Source organism: Homo sapiens, chromosome 19, assembly GCF_000001405.40.
Source record: "Homo sapiens chromosome 19, GRCh38.p14 Primary Assembly".
Lineage (NCBI taxonomy): Eukaryota > Metazoa > Chordata > Mammalia > Primates > Hominidae > Homo > Homo sapiens.
Genome location: NC_000019.10, coordinates 54,790,419 through 54,814,517, shown reverse-complemented (window position 1 = coordinate 54,814,517; position 24,099 = coordinate 54,790,419). Strand labels below are relative to the sequence as shown.

Genomic DNA, 24,099 nt, shown 5'->3' with positions numbered 1-24,099 from the left:
TGAAGGCAGACATGTTTATTTGAAGAGGAGAGAACTACACTGAAATCAAAAAAATTTTATAAGGTTTGCTGATGCCAGAAGGCTGAAAAATAGTCTGAGGAAAGGTGGAACAGCACGAGGGAAGGTGGAACAGCACGTGTCTAAGTGCCGTGTTAAGAGAGAGCCTCTTGTATGTTTGGAATTGTGAGTTCCTCAGTGTGATTGCAGCCTCAAGTAGACTAGGAAGTAAGCCAGTTAGGTTGGAGAGGTGGGCAGGGGTCAAGTGAAATAGAGAATTGTGGGCTAAGCAAAGGAGTGTGTTTTCTCTGCAGCAGGCAGTGGGGACCTTAGACATTGGTAAGCAAGAGACAGGCACCAGATTTGTGGTGTGAGGAAGAGTGATGCTCTAAGATGGAGACTCACGCCTTCAGATTCCAGCTGCTGGTACATTAGAGCTGGCAAGCTGGGTTTGAGACAGGGCTGTTGTCTCCCTAGAAGATCCCATCAAGGCCTGACTGTGGTGCTCATGGGCAGGAGACAACGCTCTGGGCTCAGCATTTGGAAGTTCTATACACACGCTGGTATCTGTTGAGGGTCTCTTGCTCCTCTGAGAAGGGCCAGTGATTTTTCTCTGTGTGAAAATGCAGTGATCCAACTGTGCGTATGTCACCTCCTGAGGGTCTTGTTCATCAGAGTCCTGGAGAGAGGGAAATCCTGAGTGAGGGAGGGTGTTCACATTTTTCAGGACTATTTCGGAATAAGACTGTATCCATGAGGCTGGGCTAGGAGGACCTACCTCCCTGTTCACTGTTCTGTGTCCCGCAGGCTCTTGGTTCATTACAGCAGCATCTGTAGGAGACGGAAGCAATCAAAACAGCTGGGAGGGCACTTCTGGGTCCTCATTTCATGAACAGATACCAACACACAGGGGGAGGCCATAGGTGCCTGAGGTCCCTCAGCTGCCAACAGCCAGACTCAGACATTCCATCTCTCTGAGTGCAAGACCCCATTCCATGAATAGCTGTCAGTTCCCATCCCATTGATTCTATCTCCCACTTTCTGCCTGTCATGGAATCTTCTCCTGGATGTGAGTGGCTGCAGGGGACGTGAGGATACAGTTCACAATCAGGCAACGGTCTGTGAGCTGAAGGCAGGGGCAGGGTGTCTGGTGCTCTCTCTAGAAAGCTCTGCCTCTGGCTCCTGCCTTGGGCCAGAGACTTTCCTGCCAGTGAGGAACACACACCTGCGTGCTCCCATCCTGCTTCCGCACAGGGCCCTGAGTTCTCTGGCCTCTGCTTCGTGAGGCTTACTTTTTTTTTGGAGCACCAGCGATGAAGGAGAAAGAAGGGAAGGATGGTAAAGAGGATGATGGCCACTGAGTACCTAATCACAGCATGCAGGTGTCTGGCGATACCTGGAGGAAGATGGGAATCCAATAAGAAGCTAACCATAGCAGTTCCTCTTTGTGGATTGTCTCTCATTTCTTGGTTGCCAGGCAACCACATAAAACACCTCTTTAAGACAAGCACCCACGAGGCGGGAGACCCAGCTTTCTCCTGCTTTCTCCGTTATAGTTTTCATAATAACAATAGAATGTGCTGATGATACAACTGCTATTGTTTCAATGTTTGACCCCTCCAAACCCCACTTTGAAATTTAATCCCCAGTGTGGGAGTTGTGCCTATTGGGAGGGGTGTTTTGGTCATGGGGGTGGATCCATCATGAATAGATTAATGCTGTCCCCAGAGGACGGGGTTAGCAAGTTCTCCCTCTATTAGTACCCTGGAGAGTTGATTCTTAAAAAGAGCTTGGAAGCTCCATCACACCCCCTTTCTCCCTCTCTTGCCATGTGATCTCTGTGGTCTCTGCACACGCAGGACCCCCTTCTCTTCTGTCAGTGTGGGAGCAGCCTGAGGCCGCAGCCAGAAATAGATGGTAGTGTCCTGCTTCTAGTACAGCGTGCAGATCAGTGAGCCAAACACATCTCTTTTCTTTAGAAGATACCCAGGCTCAAGTGTTCTTTTATAGCAACAAAAATAGGCTAAGACAGCAACATCCTGAGATCAGGAGGAACGTCTCAGAACAGCCTGGGCTGTCTTCCTGTTCTTCCTGGAGGAGAACATCATGCAGTGCTTTAGCTGAGTGTTCCCTGTGGCTCCAGGGTACAAAACCCAGGCTGGGCTGCTTTCTGGCTTCCCCCAGCTACAGTGCACATGAAGTGACTCCATGTGTCCTGAGCAGTTTTTCTGAGCCTTGAGGGACTGGCTCACCCTGAAAGGAAGGTTTCTGTTGTCACTCGCTGCTTATCTATAAGTAATGAACCTGCCTATGTAATGTATTCCCTGTGTGTTCTGTCTCCCTGGAGTGATGGTGAGTGATAGAAATTGGCACAGCCCCAGGTGCAGTATGGGAGGTGTTTAGAGTCTTCTCTGGGAAGACTGGACTGGGATTGATACACAGTGAATGTGCTTTACAGTTTCTACATCCACAACCCTCTTGACTCAAACAAATTACATTCTCCAAGAAAAGGAAAAAACAGTGACATTGAAATCAACATAAGTGAGGTTGAGCTGTCTTATATCAAACAGCCAGGAAATAATGATGAAGCTCGTGGGCAACATGCTACTTTTGTCATCTTGGGAGTCAGATATTAGGCTGCTGTTCCACCCGAGAGTCTGGGGGAAAGACCACCCCCTCCATCATCTGTTGCTTCAATACAGCCTGTCTTTCTGTGAATTACTCCAAAAGGTGACCAGGAGATAGTGCTGGCACTGGTCTCTGAGTCTACGATCTGAACTCCAAAGAATATTAGTTTTTACCTCCCCATGATCTATCTGTATCATTAATGTGATTGGAAGTAGGGGTGAGGTGGGGGATTTGGGTGAAGGGGCAAGTTTTGTGCCATGAACAGATCACGTTCTCTATTCCAGGACCTGTGCTGGTGGGTTTCACATTTTCCATATGATCTCATGCTCACAGAAAGCCAAATAAGGAAGATGTTTTCGCCTGATTTTCTTACGGATAGGATAAAGGATCAAAGAAGTCATTATAGAGAAATAGAAAAATGATGATTGGAATTGGTGTGCCTTTGTCATTCGTGTATGTTATATTATATTTATGTATTCTTTATTTTTATTTTTTGCCATGGAGTCTCACTCTGTCACCTAGGGTGCAGTGCAATGACGCGATCTTGGCTCACTGTAACCTCTCCCTCCCTGGTTGAAGCCATTCTCCTTCTTCAACTTCCCGAATAGCTGGTATTACAGGCACGCGCCACCACCCCCAGCTAGTTTTTGTATATTTAGTAGAGATGGGGTTTCACCATGTTGTCCAGGCTGATCTCGAACTCCTGATCTCACTTGATCCAGCCTCCTCAGCCTCCCAAAATGTTGGGTTACAGGTGTGAGCCACCGTTCAGAACCTTGTGTGTTATATTATAATAGGTCTCTTCCTTTGCACCACCCCTCATGTATCTCTCACTCCTCTGCCAAGTATTGATTTACATGTAGGAAAAATAAATCTCAGAAAGAAATCAATGAAGTGAAGATTAAACAATTAGGAAAAATCAAACCAGGCAAGCCCTCCCTGCAAATTACTCTACCTCACAAACACATCTTGTGTCCATCTTTCATTCATTTAGTGTCTAAATCAGCACCACATTTCACCAGGGGGGCGGGAATTGCCTTTTCCACAGTCTCCTAGATTCCAGTTATGCACCTGGGCCTCCCTTATTTTCATGTCAGTCACTATTCATCATGTAGGGATTCCCAGTTAGCCCCGAGGTAAGTCCAATGGCTGTGAGTATCAAACACACGCTCCTTGTTGCTCCTTAGTTTCCTGTGTACCCAGTGTGCTCTCTGTCTCTCCACAGTCGTCTTGTCATTCTCCCCATGTCATTCCCAGCATTTCAGGCAGAGCCTCTTCCTTCCACATAACATTGTTTTCACCTTTGTGCCTTCACGGCTGACAGCTGTGTGGAAAATCCTTCCGCCAATCTTCCAGGGGTTGATCTATTTTTTTCATTAAGGTCACAAGTATTATTTGATCAGTGAGAACTTCTCTGTCACCCGAAATTATACACTCAGCATTATCTATTATTTCTTTTAAAATACGGCTCGGCGCCTTGGCTCACGCCTCTAATCTCAGCACTTTGGGAGGCTGAGACGGGCGGATCCCTTAAGGTTGGGAGTTTGAGATAGCCTGGGCAACATGGTAAAACCTTGTCTGTACTAAAAAAAAATACCAAAAAAAAATTAGCCAGGCGTGGTGGGACATGGGTGTAATCCCAGCCTCTCGGGAAGCTGAGTGTAGAGAATCGCTTTAACCTGGGAGGTGGAGGTTGCGGTGAGCCGAGATCCCGCCACTGCACTCCAGCCTGGGGCACAGAGGGAGACACTGTCTCATAAAAACAACCAATCAATCAATCATTCTCATGCACAGATGCTTCCCAATGGATCATTCATTTATTGGTCCACTGGTGCATTCATTTTCTGCCCTCCCATTTAATCCTTTGCAATATCAGTGTCCAAGAGCAGAGGCCAAATGCACCTTGTTTACCATTTGTGGAAAGGATAAGAATGCCGCCCCACCCCAAAATATTCCTGTCCTAGTCGCCATATCTTGTGAATATGTTATTTTACATGGAAAAAAGGAATGCAGATTGCAGATGGAATTACGGTTGCTAATCAGCTAACCTTAAAAGGAGGGTATCCTAGATGATTTTAGGGAAATTATGATGGATTATCTTGGTGTTTCCAATAGAATGCCAAAGTCCTTAAAAGATGAGGAAGAAGGCAGAGCAGCATTCAGAGAAAGAGGTGTGGACAAGGAAGAAGGGTCTGAGTGATGCCGTGTGAGAGGCGTGACCAGCCTTTGTGGACTTTGAGGGAGGAAGACGGGGACCAGGAGCCAAGGAATGTGGGAGCCTCTAGGAGCTGGGAAAAGTGAGGAAGCAGATTCTTGCCTGGAACATTCAGAGGGAAGGCAGCCTTGCTGTCACCTTGATTTTAGCCCAGTGAGATGATGCATTTCATACTTCTGAGCTACAGCACCATGAGATATTTTTTAAAAATGTGGTTTCCATCCACGAAGCTTGTGGAAATTTGTTATGGCAACATAGGAAAAGGTTCCACACTGCACAGTCTGAGCATGGGGCAGTGGCTGAACGAGTAAGTGGAAGTGTCATGTGCACGGATGAACTACGTTCTCTCTTACCGCAAAGCTCTTGTTCCACTAAGTCAACCAGGGTTGGATCATGACAGACAGGAGCTCATTCCTTGGCAAGTAGAACTTCTCTACAAATACACCACCCTCAAAAATGTTCCCCTTCCTTCCCCTTCTCAAGCCCCCAGGCATTTGTCCTCCCAGTTAGGAATGCAGGCAGAACAAACACAGCATTTTTCCTGAGAAGAATGTCTGATTTGCACTCATCCTTCTACCCTGAGGTCTCAGCAGCAGAAAATTAGAGATTAAGAGATTTCACTGAGCCCTGTGCTGGGCCCAGATCCCTTTCGCTGTTGGAGTGTCTGGGGTTCAGAGACAATGGAAGACAGGCCCACAATCACAGAGCTGGCAGGTGCTGAGCCAACGCTTGAATCCAAGGCTTCTACCTCCCCAGGTTTCCAAAAGCAGAGATAAGAGGGGTCCTTCACTTACCAGTTTTGAAGCTTGGTTCAGTGGGTGAAGGCCAACTACTAGAAGGGTTTCCTAGAACACGGGACAGGAGAGAGGTGTGGCAATGAGGATGCCTGTCTTCTACTCAATGGAAATCTTTGAGGTTGGTTCATGGCCAACATTCTATTATCTAATGTTGGGCCCTGGGAGTCCTGGCATCCCATTCTCCATAATCATTGTAGGTGACACCAACTATCTTGAGACTTCAAGGTATAAGGAGAAAACAGGAGCATCACACTACCTGACTTAAAAATATGTTACAGAGCTGTAGTAAGCAAAACAACATGACATTGGCATAAAGAAAAGCACATAAAACAATGGAGCAGAATGAAGAACACGGATGTAATCCACCCATTTACATCCAATGGACTTTGACAAAGGTTCGAAGAATCTACAATCTGGAAAGGACAGTCATTTCAATAAATGGTGCAGGGAAAACTGGATATCTACATGCAGAGGGATGAAACTGCACCTCTACCTCTCACCATACACAAAAATCAGATGAAAATGGATTAATGACTTAAGACCTGAATCCATTAAATGTCTAAAAGGAAACACTGGAGAAATGCTCCAGGACATTTGTCTGAGGGAAGACATTTTGTTTAAAACCTCAAAAACACAAGTAATCACAACAACAACAAAAAAATAGACCATTGGGATTATATCAAATCAAGCAGCTTCTGCACCGCAAAGGAAGCAACCAATGAAGTGAAGAAGAGACAACCCACAGAATGGGAGCAAATATTTGCAAACTATGCATCTGAGATGGGATTAATAACTAGAATATAAAAGAAGCTCAAACACCTCAATAAAACTAATAATTTAATTATAAAATTAGTAAAAGACCTGAACAGACATTTCTCAATGAACAAAACATACAAATGAACATATATACATTGCATATATGAAAAAGTGCTCAGTATCACTAATCATCAGAGAAATGCAAATGAAGTCACAATGAGCTATCATCTCACCCCATTACAATGGGTTTTATCTCAGAGACAGACAAAACAAATGTTGGCAAGGTGGTGGAGAAAGGAGAACCCTAATACACTGTTGATAGGAATGTAAATTAATACAGCCATTACAGAGGAGAAGAATATGGAAGTTCCTTAAAAACTAAAAAGAGATTAGGCACTGTGTCTCACGCTTGTAATCCCAGCACCTTGGGAGGCTGAAGTGGGCAGATCACTGGAGGTCAAGAGTTCGAGACCAGCCTGGCTAACATGGTGAAACCCCGTCTCTACTAAAAATACAAAAATCAGCCAGGCGTGGTGGCGGGCACCAGTAATCCCAACTACTCGGGAGGCTGAGGCTGGAGAATCACTTGAATCCTGGAGGTAGAGGTTGCAGTGAGCCCAGGTGGTGCCATTGCACTCCAGCTTGGGCAACAAGAGTGAAACGCTATGTCAAAAAAACAAAAAGCATAAAACAAAACCTAAAAAGAGAACATCCAGAGGATCTAGCAATTCCACTAGTGGGTGTAAATGCAAAGAAAAGGACTTCAGTGTATTGAAGTGACATCTGCACTCCCATGACTGTTCCAGCACTGTTCACAGTAGCCAAGATGTGGAGTCAACCTACCTGCCCATCAGTGGATGAATGGATAGAGAGAAAGTAGTACATACACACAATGGAGACAACTCATCCATACAAAGAGTAACGTCCTGTCATTTGCAGCCACATGGATGGACTGGAGGTCATTACAAGGATTGCCATTTCTTACTCACATGCAGGATGTAAAAGGTGGACCTCATGAAGGTAGAGAGTAGAATGGTGGATACCAGAGGTTAGGAAGGAAGGGGTGGAGGGTAACAAAAGAAGAATATAAAAGTATTTATTTATTTATTTAGAGACAGAGTCTCTCTGTGTCACCAGGCTGCAGTGCAGTGGCATGATCTCAGCTCACTGCAACCTCCTCCTCCTGGGTTTAAGCCACTCTCCCGCCTCAGCCTCCCAAGTTGCTGGGATTATAGGCGCCTGGCACCATGCCTGGCTAATTTTATTTTTTTTGTCTTTTTAGTAAAGATTGGTTCCCCCATGTTGGCCAGGCTGGTCTCCAGCCCCTGATTTTAAATGATCCACCTGCCTTGGCGTCTCAAAATGCTGAGATTACAGGCATGAGCCACCGCACACAGCATATAAAGGTATTTATGATCCCTAGATTTTACACTTAAAAATGGTAAAGTTGATAAATTATATAGGTATATTTAACCTCAATCAGCATTTTTTCAAAGGAAAAGAAAAAGTGTAGGGGTTGCTGGTGATGACATCTCTGTGTAGGTGAGAGGCCAGGGTGGGCTTCTGGGAAATGGGTAAGGTTGAGGGGCTGAGGGAACCTCTGATCTCCCCAAACTGAGCCCAGTCTCCCTCCTCTGGGTCTGTCCTGACCACTTTCTCCATCTGCCTGGGTACCCGGAGCCCTTACTGCAAGCTTCCATGCAGGCCATGCAGGAGGGTTTGGAGGTGCCCTGTCTGCCATCCTGTGCCCTGATCCCACCCTCACACCATGCTGCATCTTCTCTCCACATCTGTCCATGCTTCTCTCCATCATCAGCAGGAAGCTCCTCAGCTAAGGCTCTAGGACCATAGGACATGGGACAGACATTGGCTTTCCTCACCTGTGACAGAAACAGGCAGTGGGTCACTCGGGTCTGACCACTCGTAGGGAGATCCATGGAAAGAGCCGAAGCATCTGTAGGTCTCTCCGTGGGTGGCAGGACCCAGAGGGAAGTCGGCCTGGAATGTTCCATTGATGCTGGGCACTGCAGGGAGCCTAAGTTCATGGGCTTCCCCCTCCCTGGATAGATGGTAGATGTCAAAGGAGCTCTGGGAGCTGCAGGACAAGGTCACGTTCTCTCCTGCGCGAACCGTGGGGCCCGGCCGGGCTGTAAGCGAAGGTTTCTCATATAGACCTGGAAGGAGAAGAGGCAGTTTCCTCAGGGAGGTTCTTCCTTGTCACAGCTCCCCTCCCACCTGAGCTGAGAACTCACTGCCCTGCTCTATGGCCTAGTGCTCTCTCTCTCTCTCTCACCCTCCACCCCCAACTCTTCCTGTCGATCCCTCCCTATGTGGTTCCAGCCTGGTGGTGGCATCAGCAGTGCACCCTTGCTGATCTCAGGGTAGCCAACCTTCTTGTTTGGTTTTTTAACTTGTCCTTCACCTGGGTTCCTGTGTTGGTTTCCTGTTGTTGCTGGAGAAAATTATCACAAACATGGCGGCAGGAGAGAACACACTGACCCCTTCCACTTCTGGAGACAGAAATCAGACCCTGTTCTTCCTGGGCTACAATCAAGGCATCTGCAGGGCTGCATTCCCTCTGGAGACTCGGGAGAATCAGTTCCATTGATTTCTCCAGCCCCTTCGTGGCTCGTGGTCTTCCTCCACCTTCAAAGCCCACAGTGGCTGGTGGAGTATCCCACGATGCTGCTCTAATCCCCATTCTCCTCTTCCTTCTCCACTCATATGGACCCTTGTGATTACACTGAGCCCAGTGGGAGAGTCCAGGCCATCTCCCCATCTCAAGGTCAACTCATCAACAACCTGAGCTCCATCTTCCCCTTCAGTCCCCTGCCCTATAACATAGTCACAGGCTCCAAGGATTACAATGTGGCCATCGATGGGGACAGTTATTCTTTCCAACACAGCACCCATTCCCCTGTATTCAATCCCCCTTTACCCCAAATATAGTTGGGGCCTGGATGATCGGACTCTGGTGGACACCCCCACCAGAAGCTCTGGGACTCAGGAGGTGGGACAAGGAGAAGCCCAGACAGGAGCCCTCTGACCTGTGACCATGATCACCAGGGGGTTGCTGGGTGCCGACCACTCAGTGGGGGAGTGCGGGTGAAAACCTCGACATCTGTAGGTCCCTGCGTGTGCTGGGGTCACAGGGCTAATGAGGAAACTGTTCCAGAATATTCTGTTGTAGAGCTCAGGGACAGGGACCCCATCTTTCTTGTACAGCGTGAAGATGTTAAACCCACGACGATAGTGACACCGAAGAGTCACGTGTCCTCCTTGAGGCACCACAGCGCTGGGCCAGGCAGAGCAGAAGGGCTTGTCCTGACCACCTTGGGGAGAAGGAGATGCCGCCTCAGAGAGGAGTATGTTGAGCTGCCCCTCCCTCCCTGTGCTCAGAAGATTCTCCCCATTTCTTCTTTCTAAGGCTCCTACCACACCTGGGTGCCTGGGGCTACAGGAAGGACCCATCCCGCATAGACGTGGCGTCTCCCTACAACAAAAGTGTCAGTTGAGAACTGAGCAGGTGCTGAGTAAGGGACTCTTACTAGATTTTAATACTGCAAGATTAGTTACACCAAAGAACACAAAGTAGACATGGGGTGGAGGGTATGACCTTTGTGAATGGAATATTAGCTAATGCCTGAACCACAATAAACAACTGAGCTCCATCAGAGGATTTGGAATGGCAGGGTCGTGGCTGTGGTTCCCCCACCTCTTCTGGCAGAATGACAGCAGCCACACTGCAGCCCCTACCGTCATGGAAACGCTGGAGGGTGTGAGTTACCCTCTTGTCCTCAGAGGACCTGCTGTTCCTAACACTGCTACCCTTCCCTCCTCTGTCGGTGACACCACATCCCCCCACACACCCCAGCTTTGAGCACCTCAGTATCCCGCCTGGGCCACACAGAGCTCAACTCAGCCATGGGGAAGAAAGGCTGGGGAGGGCTAAGACAAAACAGAGGGCTGAGCATACCAGGATCTCCTCTTACTAGTTCATGAGAGACTCCCAGGATCTCCTCTTACTAGTTCATGAGAGACTCCCAGGATCTCCTCTTACTAGTTCATGAGAGACTCCCCCCAGGCCTTCCCATGGTCAGCCCATCAGCCCACCCTCTGTGCTGCCTCCCTCCCATTTCTGGAAAATTCACTTGTATTGGGGTGAAGATGGCAACCCATCATTTGGGGAAGGACTCACCCACGTGTGCCCACACACTCTGGTCCAAGAAGAACCCTGCAAAGAAAGATCATGATGAACTATTCATCTCGGCAGCAACCTACCCTTTCCTCCTGAGCCACTGGGCGCCACGCTGGACTGAAAATTAACTCATCCTCACCACTCACTTGCTTCAGAACATGGCTCTCTGCTGGGGAGACACCCAATCTGCAGGCCCATAGTGTAACCCTGGTGCTCCTTCCCTTCCAGGACTCACCAAGACATGCCAGGATGATGACCGTGGGTGACATGGACATGGTGCAGCTTCTGCTGCCAGGACGCAGTGACTCGGCTCGACTGACCGGTGCAGAGGATGTGGTGAGGGGCCCGGATCGTGCAGTTGACACATTGACCACAACATGTGAAGGGGACATAGGTAGGCTTCTTCTACGTCATATGAGGTTCAAGTGGTGAATCAGTCAAGGGAGGAATGAGGGTTTCTGAAAACTGCAGACTAGACTTGTCACTTCACATCATGCGCAACGGCCAGGCTCAAAACACATCTCAGACTCACTTACCCCTGCACGGGACGATTGAATTCTGCACTCACATGAGGAAATTTGATGTATTTTTTTTTGTTTCTACCTGAGATTCAAACTCTCCTTGATATGTAATATGCAAAATACCTAATAGGTTTTATTAACACTATAGAGCAATCGTATTAAATAAATCATCATAATTTTCCATGGTTGTATTTTTCCTGTTAAGCCAGAAACAGATAAAATGATTTAAATCCCAGTAGAAAAGACTATATAGTTATTTCGCATCATAGAATTCCACCTTATTAGCAAAAACACAATATGTCAATTGAAGGTCTGGTCGTGTTATCTAGAATTTGTCTTATGACACAAGAGTCCAAATTCACAGTTCCCTGTCTCCCTTTTTGTCTCTCTGTAACGTGTGCTTTTTTTCTCCCTGTGTTGTTTGTGTGTCTTTCTTTCTCTCTCTCATTTGAGGAAAAAATATCAGACTGATAACATCCTCCAACTTGATACTGGAATATTGCAATAACTGAAGGTTGAAATCTACACATTTAATGTGCTGTCATTCTTACAAATGTCTCTTATTTACACCTATCTTTCTGGAGTTTGTAAGAACTTTTTCACTATGCATTTTAAATTTGTAAAACTCATAATTTTTAAAAAGGGATGGGTCTCACTGTTTGCCCAGGGTGGCCTTTACTCATTCTATAAGGCTGGCATCACCCTGATACTAAAGACAGAAAAGAACATTAAACAAAAGAAAACTACATGCCAATATTCCTGATGAACATAGAGGCAAAAATCCACAAAAAATACTAAGAACTGAATCCCGCAGCATATCAAAAAGTGAATCCACCATGATCAAGTCAACTTTATTCTTAGGGTGCAAGGTTGGTTGAACATACACAATCAATACATGTGATTCATCACCTAAACAAAACTAAAAACAAAAACCACATGATCTTCTCAACACACATGTAGAACATACTTTTTACTAAGCATTTCTTCATGTTAAAAGCCCTCAACAAGCTAAGCATTGAAGAAACATAACTCAATATAATAAGAGCCGCCTGTGACAAACCCACAACCAACATCATACTGAATGAGTAAAAGCTGGAAGAAGTTCCCTTCATAAGTGAAACAAGACAAGAATGCCCACTCTCACCATCCTATTCAACATAGTACTTGAAGTCCTAGACAGAGCCATCAGGAAAGAGAAAGAATTATAAGGCATCCAAGTAAGAAGAGAGTAGCAGAGAGAGGTAGTCAAATTACCTCTGTTTGAAGATGAGATAATTTCTATACCTAGAAACCCCATAGTCTCTGCCCAAAGGCTCCTACATCTGAGAAACAAACTTCAGCACAGTTTAAGGGCAGAAAGTCAATGTACAGGCTGGGTGTGGTGTCTCAGCCTGAAATCTAGCACTTTGGGAGGGCGAAGCGGGTGGATCACCTGAGGTCTGGAGTTCGAGACCAGCCTGGCCAACATGGCGAAACCCTGTCTCTACTAGAAACACAAATATAGCCGGACGGGGTGGTACGCAACTGTAGTCCCAGCTGCTTGGGAGGCTGAGTCAGGAGAACCGCTTGAACCTGGGAGGCAGAGGTTGCAGTGAGCGGAGATCACGCCATTGCACCTCAGCTTGGGCAACAACAGTGAAACTGCATCTCAAAAAAAAAACCAAAACAAATTTAATTAATGAGGAAAAGGGTATTTGTGGTGTCCATCATGATGTTTTCATATAGGTACACATTGTGGAATGGATGAAACAACCTCTTTATCATATTTATTTTTTCACATACTTGTATGTTTTGTGTGTGTGGTGAGAACATGTAAAATCTAATCTCTTAGTAATGTTCAATACACCATATGTTGCTATTAACTGGAGTCACCAAGACATACAATAGATCTCTTGAACCGATTTCTTCTAACTGAAATTTTGCATCCTTTGACCAACATCTCTTCAATCTCTCTCCATCCCAGGTTCTTTCGACGACCATTTTACTGTTCCTCTAGGTTCCACTTCTTACACTCCACACATGAGATCATGTGGCATTTGTCTTTCTGTGCCTGGATTGTTTCCCTTAACATAATGTCCTCTAAGTTTTTTCACATTGTCACAAATGAGAGGACTTCCTTCTTTGTTGTAAAGGTTGTATAGTACTTCATTACGTTCCTATCGTATACCACGTTTTCTTTGTCCATGCACCCATAGATGGGCAGTAAGGGTGATTCCACATCTTGGCTGTTATGAATAATGCGGCTGTAAACATGGGAATGCAGATATCTCTTCAACATACTGATTCCACTTCCTTTGGATACATGCGCAGTAGTTGGATTGCAGACACATATGGGAATTCTATGTTTAATTTTTTCAGGAACTTCCAGACTGTTTTCCATAATGGTTGTGCTAATTTACATTCCCATCAACTGCATACAAATGTTCCCTTTTCTCCACATCCTCGTTAACCCTTGTTATTTTTTATGTTTTTGATAATGGTCTTTTTTTTTTTTTTTTTTTTGAGACTCAGTCTTGCTCTGTCACCCAGGCTGGAGTGCAGTGGCACAATCTCGGTGTACTGCAACCTCTGCCTCCTGGGTTCAAGCGATTCCCCTGCCTCAGTCTCCAGAGTAGCTGGGACTACAAGTGTGCGCCACCAAACTCTGCTAATTTTTGTATTTTTAGTAGGGATGGGGTTTCACCATATTGGCCAGGCTGGTTTCGAACTGCTGACCTCAGGTAATCTCCCTGCCTCGGCCTCCCAAAGTGCCTGAATTACAGGCATGAGCCACCATGCCCAGACTGTTAATGGTCATTCTAAGAGGTGTGAGGTGATATCTCATTCTAGTTTTAATTTTTATTTAGCTGATGTTTAGTAATGCTAATCATTTTTTCATATACCTTTTGGTGATTTGTCTTATTCTTAGAAATGTTTATTCAGATACTTTGCCCATTTTTTTAAGTTGGGTTATTTGATTTCTTACCATTGAGTTGTTTGAGTTTCTTATATATTTTGGATATTAATTCCTTATTAGATGTATGGGTGCAAATATATTCTCCCATTCCATAGGTTGTCTTTCCACTTGTTGAGTTTTTTTTTTCTTTGCAGAAACTTTCAATTTGATATAATGTTATTTGTCTACTTTTGCTTTTGTTGCCTGGGCCTTTGGGTTAATATCCAAAATGGTTTTGCCCAAGCCAGTGGAGTTTTCCCTTGATTTCTTTTAGTAGTTTTTTTTTTTTTTTTAAGATGGAGTCTCACTGTGTTGCCCCGGCTGGAGTGCAGTGGTGCGATCTCGGCTCACTGCAACCTCTACCTCCTGGGTTCAAGTGATTCTCCTGTCTCAACCTCCCGAGTAGCTGAGATTACAGGCACCCACAACCACACCCAGCTGTTTTTGTATTTTTAGTAGAGGCGGGATTTCACCATGTTGGCCATGCTGGTCTTGGAATCCTGACCTTAGGTGATCTGCCCACCTTGGCCTCCCAAATTGCTGGGATTATAGTCTTTCATCTTACATTTAAGTCATTAATCTATCTTGAGTTGACTTTGTATGTTTTGTGAGGCAAATGTCCACTTCCATTCTTCTGCATGTGGACATGCAGTCTCCCAATCCCATTTATTAAAGAGACTGTTCCTTCTCCATTGTGTGTTCTTGACACATCCCAAAAATTGTTTGACCCTAAATGCATGCATTTTTTTCCTGGGCTATGAATCACTTCCATTGGTCTATGTGTCTGTTTTTATGCAAGTACTGTGTTGTTTTAATTACTGTAATTTTGTAATGTAGTTTGTGTTTAGGTAATGTGATGCTTCCAACTTTGTTCCTTTCCCTCTAGATGGCTTTGGTTATTTGAGATCTTTTGTGGTTCCACATGAATTTTAGGACTGTTTTTTCTATTTCTGTAAAAAAAATGTCATTGGATTTTTGATAATGGTTGCATTGAATCACTTTGGATAGAATGGACATTTTAACAACATTAATCCTTCTGATCCGTGAACATGGAATATCTTTCGATTTATTTGTTTATTTCTTGAGTTTTTTCATCAATGTTTTATAGCTTTTGCATACAGATCTTTCTACTCCTTGGGTGAATTTATTCCTGCATGTTTTGTTTTCTGTAGTTATTGCAAATGGGCTTATTTTCTTGTAAACTTTTTTGGATAGTTTGTTGTTAATGTATAGAAACTTTGTTGTTGTTGTTGTTGTTGTTTTGATGATACCCATCCTAAGGGGTATGAAATGGCATCTGGTGTAGTTTTAGTTAGTATTTCCCTAATGATTCGTGATGCTGAATATCTTTTCATGCGTATGTTCTTTGGAGAAATGTCTGTTTCAGTACTTTGCCCATTTTTGAATTGAGTTTATTGTGATTGAGTTTTAGGAGTTGTCTGTATATTCTGGATGTTAATCCCTTACAGGTGGTGTGGTTTGAAAACATTTTCTCCCATTCTGTGGGTTGTCTTTTTACTTTGATAATATCGTCTTAAAAGTTCTTTTTCCTTGCCATGTGAAGTAACTGATGTTGTCTTTTGAGTCACAATATTTCAAAATTTTCATAAAGTCTAACTTGTTTATTTTTTCTGTAGTAGCCTGTGCCGTTGTTGTCACATCTAAAGAATCACTGCCAAATCCGATGTTGTGAAGTTTTCCTTTGTGTTTTCTTCTAAGACTTTAATTAAATTTTATTTGTCAATATTTAGGACTGACAAAAGCTTTTTAACATTCCTGGCACCATCTCAGTTATTGATCTACTCCCAAGATGGATCATTTCAATTAAAACATGTAAAGCATGACCTCACCTGAATGTGTTTGAACTTGCTCTTCTCCCTTTCAAATCGACTCCCTCACTTACATAGTTTGTGTTCAAATGTCAACAAATAAAACATAAAAAGAAATCAATCTTTTCATAGACCCTTTATCTAAAATAGAATAGTAGGTGCCATGACATTTCATCCTTTCATCTTGAATTATTTACTTTTCTACATGAAACAATCCATTCTTCTGTGTGCATGTGTGTGTGTGTGTGTGTGTGTAGTTTATCTGTCTACATATAATGTAAACACCAAAAAATAACAGACATTTAGTAATTTTCAAATGAGACTTCAGGAATTAACAATGGCTTGCCATTTTTAGTGTGTTATTATTATTATATTTAGATGAACAGAATTGCCTCAGGAACATGGCCAGGGGCTCATAGTCCAGGAGAACTGTGGCCTGACTCAGGTACATTTTACCTGCAATAACAGCAATTGCAGGTCACTGGAGTCCATCACAATTGGCTGGAGACAAATGTAAGACAAGAATATTTGCAGTTTCCCCAGACTGACACAGTTGCAGGTTCCCCGAAGTAATGAGTCCTGAGACACCTCCAACAAGAGCTAGAAAAGGTATCACTTCAAGAGGAGTTGCAGCCTACTCATTTTAGACAAATGGAGCAAAATTACAGTATCACATCTTTTCCTTTCTCCTTCATAGAATCTGGATGAACAGAACAGAAAGAGTTAATGGAATATAAGATTCCAATTCTCTGGCATGAGAAAATAGACAAGGAAAGGAAGATTCATCTTCATCACATCTCAGACATGCTTGGACACAGGGTCCAAGCACAAAAGAGAAACACATACTTCTTCCCATCCACACTGGGATCCAGGGTCTTCTCCCTCCTGTCAGGCCAGAACTGAGTCTCCACTCCCCAATTTAGTTCCCAGAGATGAAGCCCAATTTTCCTCTGTCTCAAGCTTTGAAGGCCAGTTTTAGCGTGTTCACCATGGATGAATGAAGGTGAGGTCAGAGGTTTGGGAAATGGTCAAGAATGAGGTGAGAAGAGAGCTGTGGAGGCATGGCCCCGGGGAGCTTGGTACCCCCCCATATCCAGAGCCTGTCTGGTCCAGGAGAGTTCCCAACCCTGTGAGCACCAACTCCGGATATTCTGGGCAGTGACCCGAGGGACAGCCTCTTATGAATACAGGCTGTTTTCCTCCAGTGTCTGCTGTGAAACCAGGATGTACAACATGGCCGTGTTCAACCCAACAATGGACTTAGGATTTTGCTGTACGCCAAAACTCAGTGTCCAACTTCCACTCTGTTTAGCTGGAAAAAGAAGGGGTTTGTTCCCATACATCTCACTCCTGTGTTCCTCTTTCAGTCTCAAAGCTCAGATGAAAACAATGAGTGTCACTTATTGTCAATCCTCTTCCCTGCCTTTTCCACACTCATCAGTATTACCGTTTACATTGAGACTAAAGATGGCCAATCACCACTTTTCTTCGGAAAAATCAACCTGATGTTGTACCTACTTTTTTAGAGGTGGAATCAACCTACCCTAAGATGCCAACTACATTTTACTGAATGGACTTTTGTGGATCCCCTCGATGTATATAGTGGCACCTTGAGGTATCATCCCTGTCTTTAGCAAATGAATATTATCCCAAGGACAATATTTCATCACAATTATTCGGGATGGACGAGTGGATATTGTGGTAGCAAGAACATTACTAAAAGTCACAGCTGATACAACACACTTGAAACCCATCTGGCCAATCTCCCACAGACAGAATGTCGCGCCATTCACTCCAGCCAGCTTCAGTCATGTTTCTTCCATTTCCACCTGTGGCCCCTCATGTCTCCACCAGGTCTTAGCCAGCATTGCCAAAAGAGCCAGGAAGACCAGACCAGCCACAACAATCCTGATGGAACTCTCCACAGTATAGTTCTGGAGAACAGGGGCTGGAGGGTGGGGGTAAGATCAGAGACCTTTCCATGTGGGCCAGGCCCCTCTCTCCCCAGAAGCTCTGAAATGGAGCTATTTCCCCATCTCACCTTCATAAAATTCTTCCTGTCCAGAACCCCTCTTCTCCCTATATCATCATGAGCACCTTCAGAAGTCTTTTGCCACAAAAAGAAATTTCTTTTGAAGATATACATTTTTTTGTACATTTCAAAAATGTTCCCAAACTAATTCTCCAAAGCAATAAATGTTTGTGTGTATTGCTGGGTAGGTTATGTATACAAGGAAAGGAAGCATAGTGAGTCTGATTTGGCAGAGGAAACATATGTGGAAATTATATCATTTACTCTCTTTACAAAATTAAGTACAAAATTGAAAACACTGGTAAGAAAGAATGAGCTATAGAGAAAGAAAACATCTGAGATGCTTGTTTCCAAGATGGCTGACTAAATGCTTTTCTGGCATGTCTCATCCACTTAGAAGAACGAGCAGAATCCAGAACAAAAACCATATGATCATCTCAATAGACATAAAGAAAAGCATCTGAAAAGAAATTCAACATCCTTACCTGATGAAAACCCTCAAAAACTTAGGCATAGAAAGAACATACCTCAAAATAATAAAAGCCATAGATGACATATCTAGAGTCAACATCATACTGAACAGGAAAAGTTAAAAGCACTCCTCTGAGAACTGGCACAAGACAAGGACACGGACATCCACCACTTCCTATCAACATAGTACTGGAAGCCTTGTCAGAGCTATTGGGCAACAGGAAGAATTAAAAATCCAAATTAGAAAAGAGGAAGTAAAATTATTTTTATTTCTGATGCTATGATCTTAAATCTAGAAAATCCTAAAGACCCTGCCAAAAATTCTTATGATTGATAAATGAACTAAGTAAAGTTTCAGAATACAAAATCAATATGTAAAAGCCGGTAGCATTTCTCTACACCTATAATGATCTAGCTGAGAACCAAATCAAGAAGGCAATGCCGTTTACAATAGATACGCAAAATTAAAACACTCAGGAATACATTTAACCAAGGTGGTGAAAGATCTGTACCAGGAAAGGTGTAAGACACCAATGAAAGCAATTATAGATAATACAAAAAAAAAAAAAGAAAAAAAATCCCACGCTCATGGATCATAAGAATTAATATTGTTAAAATGACCATACTGCCTAAAGCAATCTACAGATTCAGTGCAATTCTTATATGAAAATAGTAACACCAGTTTTCACAGAATTAGAAAAAGCAATCCTAAAATTCATACAGAACCAAAAAAGATCCTAATAGAGAAAGCAATTCTAGGTGAATGTAGAAACCTGGAGGCATCACGCTATCTGACTTCAAACTATGCTCTAAGGCTATAGTAACTTAAATAGCACAGTGCTGGTATAGACACAGAAACAGAGATCAATAGACCAGAATAGAGAGCCCAGAAATACAGCCTCATATCTACAGTGAATAATCATTGACGACGTTAACAAAACATACACTGGAGAAAGATTTCCTTTTCAATAAAAGGTGCTGGGAAAACTAAATAGCCATATGCAGAAGAATAAAACTGGACCTGTATCTGTAATCATACACATAAATTAACTTAAGGTAATTAGCAGCTTAAATGTAAATCCAGAACTATAAAATCACCGGTGGAAACCCAAAGAGAAACTCTTCTGGGCATTGGTCTGGGCAAAGAATTCATCACTAAGACCTCAAAAGCACAGGCAATAAAAATAAAACTAGACCAATGGGACTTAATAAACGAAAGAGCTTCTGCCAAGCAAAGGAAATAGTAGCAGGGTGAACAGACAACCCACAGAATGAATGGAAATGTTTGCAAACTATGCACCCAACAGAGGACTAACATCCAGAATTTCTAGGCAACTCAAACAACTAAACATAACCCCTCAAATAATAGCATTAAAAAGTGGGCAAAGGGATATACATAGACATTTTTCAAAAGAAGACATACGAATGGCCAAACAGCGTATGAACATCACTAATCATCAGAGAAATGCAAATTGAAACCACAATGAGATATCATCTTACAGTAGTCAGAATGGCTATTACTAAAAATGCTGGTGGGGAGTGGTGGCTCACGCTTGTAATCCCAGCACTTTGGGAAGCTGAGGCGGGTGGATCATGAGGTCAGGAGTTTGAGACCAGCCTGACCAACATAGTGAAACCCCATCTCTACTAAATATACAAAAGATTAGCTGGGCATGGTGGTGTGGTTCTGTAATCCCAGCTACTCAGGAGGCTGAGGCAGGAGAATCATTTGAACCTGGTTGGTGGAGGTTGCAGCGCGTGGAGATGGCGGCACTGCACTCCAGCCTGGGTGACAGTGGAAGACTCCATCTCAAAAAGAAAAAAAGAAAAAGTGAAACATATAACAGGTGTTGGCAAGGATGCAGAGAAAAGGAAACTCTTATACACTGTTGGCCGGTATGTAAATTAGTATAGCCTCTATGGAAGACAGTATGGAAATTTGGCAGAGAACCAAAAATAGAAGCACCATTCGATCTAGGGGTCCCGCTGCTGGGTATCTACTCAAAAAATACCTGCACCTGTATGTTTATTGCAGCACTGTTTGCAATAGCAAAGATATGAAATCAATCTAAGTGTCTGTGAATGAATGATTGGATTAAAAAAAGGATGCGTGTATACACAACGAAATACTATTTGGTCATAAAAATAAAACCATGTCTTTTGCAGCAACATAGATGGAGCTGGACGCCATTATTTTACATAAAACCACTCAGAAAGACAAATACCACATCTTCTCACTCTACATGGGAGGGGAGTAATGTGTACATATGGACGTAGAGTGTGGAATGACGGACAGCGGAGGCTAGAAGGCTGGAGGGTGGCGGGACGTGGGTGAGTGATGAGAATTTGCTTAATGAGTACAATGTACGGTATTTGGGTGATGGATATAGTAAAAGTCCTGACTTCACTACTCTGCAACATACTCATGTCACAAAATTACAAGTGTACCTCATAAATTTATACTAATAGAAAAGAAAGTCTGTACACAGTAATCAATTGTGATATGTAGATAAAGTCAATATTAAATTTAAACCAGAATAACTAGTTAAAATGTTGTGTACACAACAGTGAAGAGAGTATTTATCCTCTATGACAGAGGAAACCATCAATATTAATGCACAGAAAAAGCAAATAACTGAAACAAGAAAGAGCAGTTTTGTGACAGGGTAAAAATTGACAACAGTTTTAGAATGCTCCTAACTTGAGTTCCAAAAAGAAAGAACGAGAAAACAGGTCAGAAGCAATCTTTAAAGAGGCAATTGTTGATTATTTGGAGGAAGTAGACACATCCATCAATCCACAGGTTCAAGAAATCCAGTGAATGCCAGGCAGAATGAAGTAAACACACCTCACGTTCAACATTACAGAAAAGCAGCATAAAAGCACAACCAACCCTTAAAATTAGCCAGAGGAAAAGGATCAGCTGGTAAGGATTTATAGGGAGCCAAGCATTGTCTTCCCCACAGAAAAAAGGAAAACATAAGCCAGTAGAATAGCATCTTTACCCAGCTAAGATACCGTCGCCAGCCACCGACAATTCCTTACATAGTACAGTTACTGTCCAAGATCAACGCAGGAAAGAAACAGAACTGAAAGACAAAAGGGCAAAGAAAGCTTTTCTCACTGACCCTAAAGGAAATTCTGATGACCGTGCCTCAAAGATAAAGAAAGTGAAACCAGATGGGGTGTCGAAGATTCTGACAATAACTAAGAGCAGAGGAAGAACTAAAAATATGGCTATGCCAAAAATGAATATGGACCATACGATAGTGTATGAAAACACGCCCCTGTGTAATTTCTGAAAAAGATAGAATTATGTATACCACAAAACAAAACATCATATAAGTAAATACAAACATATGTACTAAATATGCTCTAAAATCCTGTTCTTACACAGGAAGAGTGGAAATATGTTTTTATATTTGCAGTTTAATCTCTGAAATGATTAATTTCAATTTTAAAAATATGTAACAACTTCAGGATGAGTACACCATATATGTATTCCTAAACGACATAGATCAAAAATAGAATGTTTGAAATAGAAAACCACAGAAGTCAGTGGGAAAAAAAGGGAATCAGGAAAACACAACGTAATAATAACAAAAATATGATTGGAAGAACTGCTCAAACATGAACAAAAGATTGTCAGAAAGTCTTACTTTCTAAGGCGAATTGTTTGAAATTTACAAAGGACACATCTCAATGTTAACAATTCATGGAGTTTGAAATTAAACAATGTAGAAATATACCAAGCAATCACTGTTAGAAATGTGGTATAACTATATTAAAATTAGACAAAATTAGTCTTTGGGAAAAATCAGCGGAAAACATTAAGCATAAAATGTAGGAAAAAAGCAGGTAAATTTATAGCATTTTAAATTTACCAGGAATATATAATCAGTTTACACTTAACCACTCCCAGTAATATTCCTGCAAATATACATGGAGGAAGAGTCGCGGAAATAAATGGACAGGTAGGCAAATCCACGGCCACAGTGGGGTGTTTAACACTCCTCTTTTCTCAGTTGTTGATAGAAGTGGTTCAGGCAATTAGAGAGGATTTAGAAAGATAATTGCTGGACCTGACCCAAGGTATAAGTCCACTCCCAACCACAGGACTCACTTTCCTTACAAGCACAAGGGCATTTAGAAATCTCTCTGGATTCTGACCAGCCCTCACCATATGGCAGGTCCATGGACTTCTTGGAACACACCAAGCTCATTCTCACATTAGGGTCATCCCCAATGTCCTAAGTCCATGAAAGTTCCTTTCAACACACTCCCCAGGGCTCACTCCCTCTTGTCTCTAAGATCGGAGTTTAAATGTGATCTCTCTGATGAGGTCTCAGTGAGACGTTCCCTCCTGTACACTCCAAATGACAACGTTCCACGTTCATTCATTTCATTCTGTGCATGGCACTTTCACCAAGTGCTAAGGATTCACTCACTAATTCATACATTCATTCATTCATTCATTCACTCATTCCATCATTCACTCATTCATTCATTCTCTCATTCATTCATTCATGTTCTGCCTCTCTCTCCCACCCCACAGCAATGTGAGCATCATGAACCCAGGAGCTTGGCCGTGCTGTCTACTCCTGGCCGTGAAACAGAGAGAACTGATGGTAGGTGTGAAATAAATATTAGATGAATGAGTTAGTGAAGGGGTCATTTACTGGGTGAGCTCAGTTCTCTCTACTCTAATGCCCTCCCTCGGCTGACTTCCCTGAGTTGCCCCCTCGGCTGAGTGAAGTCCCTTCACTGGCAAATGGAACCTCAACCAGTAGCACCTAGGTGGTCTCATACTTTGTTCTTTCCCTCTCCTCTTGCTCCCTAAGGATTATCAATCTCCATGACAGGGCTGGAGAGCAGACAAGCCACACATTCTTTCTGGGGAGAGAGTAACATGGAGTACAAGGCATTCCACATTTAGGAAGAGAACTCAGTTATGGAAGGTCAGAAATGAAAAGTTCCTACAGACCAACACCCAGGTTGGTGGCCACAGCCCTAAATGCTGATGGAGAATCACTGCAAGTCTGTAGGGAAGATGTCTGGCTTGAGGCCACTGAGCGAAGTGGCAGATCCTTCTCAGCCTTCAGTGCTGAGCCTCTGTCCCCTCAGGGATCCACTGACCAATGAGAAGAGCCTCTTCTCATCTCCTGGGATGGAGCTTGGGGCCCCTGGCGAAGGAATGGGCCTGTTTCCACCTGTCATGTTGTCATCTAGCTTGGAAATCCTGCGAGTCCCAGGGAGGCCCTCCCCGAGTCCCCAGAGAAGACTCCCCCACTGAGTCTCCAAGGTGTGGAGAGAGCAAAAAACATCTAGGGTGGAAAATGCCTCCCATCAAGAGACATTGGGGCTCCCCCAACGATGGTTGCATCTGTGCCCCCCATGTGGAAATCACTCTTTGGTGAGAGGTGGGGGCTTCTGGAAATGGGCAATGGCGGGCGGCCAATGCTACCTCTAGTCTTTCCAATCTGAGCCCGGCCTTTCATGCTCCTGAGTCAGCATTGATGCTGTTTACATGTGTCCCAGGTGGGCTTCTGTACAAAGACTGGGAAGTGGTTTATGTGGCCTGTGCTCTATCTGCAAGCTTCAGGTAGGGTTGCAGTTACCACCCCAAACCCTAATGTGATCTGTCTGCCTCGCTCTGTCTGTCTGTCTATGCCTCTTTCTGTATGTTTGCTTTGTGTCTCTTCTGTCCAGCATCTCTGGCT

At 43.5% G+C, this 24,099-nt stretch overlaps 1 protein-coding gene across 2 annotated transcripts; it reads right to left on the bottom strand.

Annotated features, from left to right (window-relative positions):
- Window positions 1-10,908, bottom strand: KIR2DL4 (killer cell immunoglobulin like receptor, two Ig domains and long cytoplasmic tail 4). Of its 2 annotated transcripts, NM_001080772.2 has the most exons (8): window positions 10,827-10,908; window positions 10,592-10,627; window positions 9,441-9,725; window positions 8,274-8,567; window positions 5,635-5,685; window positions 1,290-1,393; window positions 776-828; window positions 1-676 (listed from the first exon to the last, which is right to left on the bottom strand). In NM_001080772.2, the coding sequence occupies exons 1-7, from the start codon at window positions 10,864-10,866 to the stop codon at window positions 817-819; spliced, it is 822 nt and encodes a 273-aa protein (NP_001074241.1). In that variant the 5' UTR covers window positions 10,867-10,908; the 3' UTR covers window positions 1-676; window positions 776-816. The 2 variants fall into 2 exon arrangements, with proteins under 2 accessions (NP_001074241.1, NP_001074239.1); NM_001080770.2 differs by lacking the exon at window positions 1,290-1,393.

Excerpts from the sequence above, each read along its gene's own strand:
- KIR2DL4 (NM_001080770.2), bottom strand. The coding sequence starts at position 10,866 with ATGTCCATGTCACCCACGGTCATCATCCTGGCATGTCTTG. Across the intron at positions 9,726-10,591 it reads GAGTGTGTGGGCACACGTGG|GTGGTCAGGACAAGCCCTTC; the intron begins GTGAGTCCTTCC and ends CTTCTCCCCAAG. Across the intron at positions 677-775 it reads ACAGAACAGTGAACAGGGAG|GACTCTGATGAACAAGACCC; the intron begins GTAGGTCCTCCT and ends CCCTCTCTCCAG.